This window comes from Homo sapiens, chromosome 11 (assembly GCF_000001405.40).
Source record: "Homo sapiens chromosome 11, GRCh38.p14 Primary Assembly".
In the NCBI taxonomy this organism is placed as follows: Eukaryota; Metazoa; Chordata; class Mammalia; order Primates; family Hominidae; genus Homo; species Homo sapiens.
Window position 1 is genome coordinate 76,580,284 of NC_000011.10, and position 5,780 is coordinate 76,586,063.

Here is a 5,780-nt window from a genome sequence, read left to right on the forward strand (position 1 = left end):
ACCCTATTTGGAAGTAAGTTCTTTGCAGATGTAATCGAGTTAAAATGAGGTCATTAGGAAGGGCCTCATCCAAGATGACTGGTGTCCCTATATGAAGAGGGAAGGACAAATTGTTTTGTTTTCATCCTCCCAGTGTGGGGTACTTTGTTATGGCAGCCTCAGGCCATCTATACAGCTGGGGTCTGCCTGGGGGTCCCTCAGCCTCCTTAGGCAAAAAGGTGACCTGGAACCTGTGGGAGAGGTGCAGGGGCCAGGGCTCAGTCCTCAGCTCTGTGAGGGGAAGAGCTTTCTCCCAGTCGCAGCATCCCAGAGGAGGGGCCTTCTGAGGTGCCGAGGGCCACGTGGCGGGAGTGTGTATATGGAGGAGAGGATGGCCGTTTGATGAAGGTGTTGGGTTGATTGTCTCTTTCTTGTTGATTTTTGAGTATTAGTTTATATAGATATATCTATAGAAAGGTTGGCCTACTGGGTAATGAGTTTGTTGCAAATGTGCGTGTTGCAAATATGTTTCCTAGTTTGGGGCTTGCTTGTCTTTTCATATTCTTTATGGCGTTTGTTTGTTTGTTTGTTTTTTAAGAGACAAGGTGTCTCCCTGCCACCCAGGCTGGAGTGCAGTGACGCGATCATAGCTCACTGCAGCCTTGGTCTCCTGGGCTCAAGCGATCCTCTCACCTCTGTCTCCCAAGTAGCTAGGTCCACAGGTGCGCATTACTGTGCCTGGCTAATTTTATGCAATTTTTTTGTAGAGTCGAGTCTCACTTTGCTGCACAGGCTTATGGTGTCTTTTGATCAACAGAGGTTCTTCATCTTAATGTTATCAAATTTGTCCACCGTTTTTCTTTATACCCTGTGCTTTTGCTGTCTGCTTTTAAAAATCATTTTTCATCCCAAGGTCATAAGAGAAGCCCCTATATTTTTCTAAAAATTCAAAATATTACTTTTCACAAGCATTTTTTAATTCAACTGCAATTTATTTTTGTGTAGGGTATGAGGTCAGGTTTCTAATTTAATATAGATAAGCTACTATCTCAGCATCATTTATTGATCAGCAGTGCCATCTCTCTTATATCTGTCCCTGTATCAATACCTCAGTCTTAATTACTAGAGTTTTAGTTATTTTACTGTACTTAGTTTTAGTAAGTCTTGATGTCTGGTGGAGCAAAACTCCCTATTCTCATCTTGTTTTCTTCTGTAATGTCTTTGTTATAGTTTTTGTACCTTTTAATGGTTCCTTTAAAAATTCTTAACACAGTTATTTATGTAAAAGTTTTCTGAAAATAATTTTAATATCACTATTAATTTGAATAATTTACTTTAAGATTTGTATAACAGAGAAAGTGAGAGCTTGACAGTTTGGTAATATTCTTTTTTTTTTTTTTTTTTTTGAGACAGAGTTTGGCTCTTGTCCAGGCTGGAGTGCAATGGCACAATCTCAGTTCACTGCAACCTCCGCCTCCTGGGTTCAAGCGATTCTCCTGCCTCAGCCTCCTGAGTAGCTGGGATTACAGGTGCCCGCCACCATGCCCAGCTAATTTTTTGTATTTTTAGTAGAGATGGGGTTTCACCACATTGGCCAGGTTCGTCTCAAATTCTTTTTTTATTTTATTTTATTTTATTATTTTATTTTATTTTTTTAGTATTTATTGATCATTCTTGGGTGTTTCTCGCGGAGGGGGATTTGGCAGGGTCATAGGACAATAGTGGAGGGAAGGTCAGCAGATAAACAAGTGAACAAGGGTCTCCGGTTTTCCTAGACAGAGGACCCTGCGGCCTTCCGCCGTGTTTGTGTCCCTGGGTACTTGAGATTAGGGAGTGGTGATGACTCTTAAGGAGCATGCTGCCTTCAAGCATCTGTTTAACAAGGCACATCTTGCACCGCCCTTAATCCATTTAACCCTGAGTAGACACAGCACATGTTTCAGAGAGTACGGGGTTGGGGGTAAGGTTACAGATCAACAGCATACCAAGGCAGAAGAATTTTTCTTAGTACAGAACAAAATGGAGTCTCCTATGTCTACTTCTTTCTACACAGACACAGCAACAATCTGATTTCTCTATCTTTTCCCCACATTTCCCCCTTTTCTATTCGACAAAACCGCCATCGTCATCACGGCCCATTCTCAATGAGCTGTTGGGTACACCTCCCAGACGGGGTGGCGGCCAGGCAGAGGGGCTCCTCACGTCCCAGAAGGGGCGGCCGGGCAGAGGCGCCCCCCACCTCCCGGACTGGGTGGCGGCCGGGCGGGGGCTGCCCCCCACCTCCCTCCCGGACTGGGCGGCTGCCGGCTGGAGATGCTCCTCACTTCCCGGATGGGGCGGCTGCCGGGCGGAGGGGCACTTCTCAGAGGGGGCGGCCGGGCAGAGACACTCCTCACCTCCCAGAAGGGGTCGCGGCCGGGCAGAGGCACTCCTCACATCCCAGACGGGGCAGCGGGGCAGAGGTGCTCCCCACGTCTCAGACGAGGGGCTGCCGGGCAGAGACGTTCCTCACTTCCTAGACAGGATGGCGGCCGGGCAGAGACGCTCCTCACTTCCCAGACTGGGCGGCCGGGCAGAGGGGCTCCTCACATCCCAGACATGGGCGGCCAGGCAGAGACGCTCCTCACTTCCCAGACGGGGTGGCAGCCGGTCAGAGGCTGCAATCTCGGCACTTTGGGAGGCCAAGGCAGGCGGCTGGGAGGTGGAGGTTGTAGCGAGCCGAGATCATGCCACTGCACTCCAGCCTGGGCACCATTGAGCACTGAGTGAACGAGACTCCATCTGCAATCCCGGCACCTCGGGAGGCCGAGGCTGGCAGATCACTCGCGGTTAGGAGCTGGAGACCAGCCCAGCCAACACAGCGAAACCCCATCTCCACCAAAAAAATACAAAAACCAGTCAGGCGTGGCGGCGCGGCGCCTGCAATCCCAGGCACTCGGCAGGCTGAGGCAGGAGAATCAGGCAGGGAGGTTGCAGTGAGCCGAGACGGCGGCAGTACAGTCCAGCTTCGGCTCGGGATCAGAGGGAGACCGTGGAGAGAGAGGGAGAGGGAGACCGTGGGGAGATGGGAGAGGGAGAGAGAGGGAGAGGGAGACCGTGGGGAGACGAGAGGGAGAGGGAGGGGGAGGGGGAGAGGGAGAGGGAGAGGGAGACTTCGTCTCAAATTCTTGACCTCAGGTGATCCACCCGCCTTGGCCTCCCAAAGTGCCGGGATTACAGGTGTGAGCCACTGCACCCATCCTGGTATATATTCTTATAAAAAATTTTCAGTGGATAGACCAACACACATGCACACACATATAATTTATTTATATATACATTATGACAGAATCATTCCTCATATACTGTTCTGACATTAACTTTTTCACTTAGAAATAGGTCTAAATATATTTTCATGGTGGAAAAATAGAACAGACTCATTAAAAAAAAACAAAACCTGCACGGTATCCCATTTTAGAGAAGTACTCAAATATAGTCAACCAATTCCTTACTGAGGTACGTTGGTGTTGTTTCCAATGGCTCATTTTTTAAAATTAATTCTGCTTCCAGTAATAAATTACCCTCCAGAAAGATTGTACCCACTAGCACTGTATCACACTGCCTTTTGGATCACATGGGCACCAACACAGGGTATTTTAAACAAAATAAACAGATACAGTAAAGATAAAGCAAAGAACACCATAGGCATTGTGTATATGCCACCCACACATTTACTACACGTTTGCCACACATTTACTACATTAGCTTTTTATTAAATTTGCTTTGGAATTTTAAAAAAAATATTAAGGAAATTTCAAACATACACAAAAGTAAAGTAAATGGTATCATGAACCCATCACCCAACTTCAACAATGATCAGTTCATGGCTGCATCCATCTACATTCCCAGCCCCAGATTATTTTGATGCAGATGCCAGACACCATATAATTTCATCTATAAATACTTCAGAAAGCCTCTCTAAAACATAGACTCTTTCATACTTTAAACAATCAAATATTTTCTAATATAATATGATATCCAAATATATCAAATTCCCTTGGTTGTCTTAAAAAAAAATAATTTGACCAGGCGCGGTGGCTCACGCCTGTAATCCCAAGACTTTGGGAGGCTGAGGTGGGCAGATCACGAGGTCAGGAGATCGAGACCATCCTGGCTAACACGGTGAAACCCCGTCTCTACTAAAAATACAGAAAATTAGCTGGGCATGGTGGCAGGCGCCTGTAGTTCCAGCTACTCAGGAGGCTGAGGCAGGAGAATGGCCTGAACCCGGAAGGTGGAGCTTGCGGTGAGCGGAGATCGAGATCGCACCACTGCACTCCAGCCTGGGCGACAGAGCGAGACTCTGTCTCAAAATAATAATAATCATAATAATAATATTAATAATAATTTATTTGCAAGATTGGGAAAATGTTGGTCCAAGGACACAAAATTTCATTTAGGCAATAGGAAGAGTTTCTAACATCTGTGCTACATCATGGTGACCATTGTTAGTAATGATACATTGTACATTTGCAAATTGCTAAGAGAGTAGATTTTAAATGTACTCACAACAAAAAATGATAAGTATGTGAGGTAATGCGTATGTTAAATAGCTTGATTTAACCATCCCACAATGTATACATAGATCAAAACATCATGTTGTACAGCATAAATATACATAATTTTTGTCAGTTAAAAAATGTTGCTTAAATAAGTATTGTCAATTAAAAAATAATTCATTTTCTTGAATAAGTATTCAGAATAAAATCCAGACATTGTCTTTGTGACTCTTAAGTTTATTTTTTTAAATTTTGTAACAATCACAAACTTACAGAAAAGTTGCAAGTACATTACAAAGAGCTTTTCTTCTCCTGACTCTTTTGAGAAGTGAGTTGCAGACCTGGTTCCCTGTCACTAACCAAATCTTTTTTTTTTTTTTTTTTTTTTTGAGATAAGGTCTTACAATATTGCCTAGGCTGGTCTCAAACTTCTGGCCTTAAGCAATCCTCCTGCCTCGGCCTCCCAAAGTGCTGGGATTATATGTGTGAGCTACCAGGCCCAGCCTCCCCAAATCTTTAATGCTTCCTACAAACAAGGACCGTCTTCTCTATAATTATAATATAACCATCAAACCCAGAGATTAACATGGACTCATTACTATCATCTACTCCCCAGATACCATTCAAGTCTTGCCACTCATCTCAACAATGACTTTTATTGTCAAAGGATCTAGTTCAGATGCACACACCATATTGTATTTTAGTTGTCTTGTTCCTTTAGTATCTTTCAGCCTGGAAACGTTACTCAACTTTCCTTGAAATTTTTGAAGTTATTTTGTAGTCTATCCCTCAGTTTGAATTTGCCGATGTTTTATCATGATTGTACATCTTTGCAAAGTCTATAATTGTGCATCTTTGCATAGTATATGAATACTATGCATCTTCAGTAGGAATATCATGGAAGTGATACTGTGTTTTTTCTCATTGCTTCTTATCAGGTGGTGTGTGATTTTAATTGGTCCCATAACTGATGATTCAGGTGATGTCTACCAGTCTTCTCACTGTAAAGTTACTCTTTTCTCCTTTGTGATTTTTATAGATAGTTTGAAACGATGCAAATATCTCATTCCTCATCAAACTTTCAATTTATCCTTTAGTTTACATCAGTATGGATTTATGATTTTCTATTTTATTCAATGGGTCATAATCTCTTACTACCATTACTTATTTTTAAGCTCAAAATGTCCCCAGTTTGGCCAGTGGGAGTCTCTTTAAGCTGGCTCCTGCATCCTTTTGAGAAATACCCATAATTCTTTGGGCACA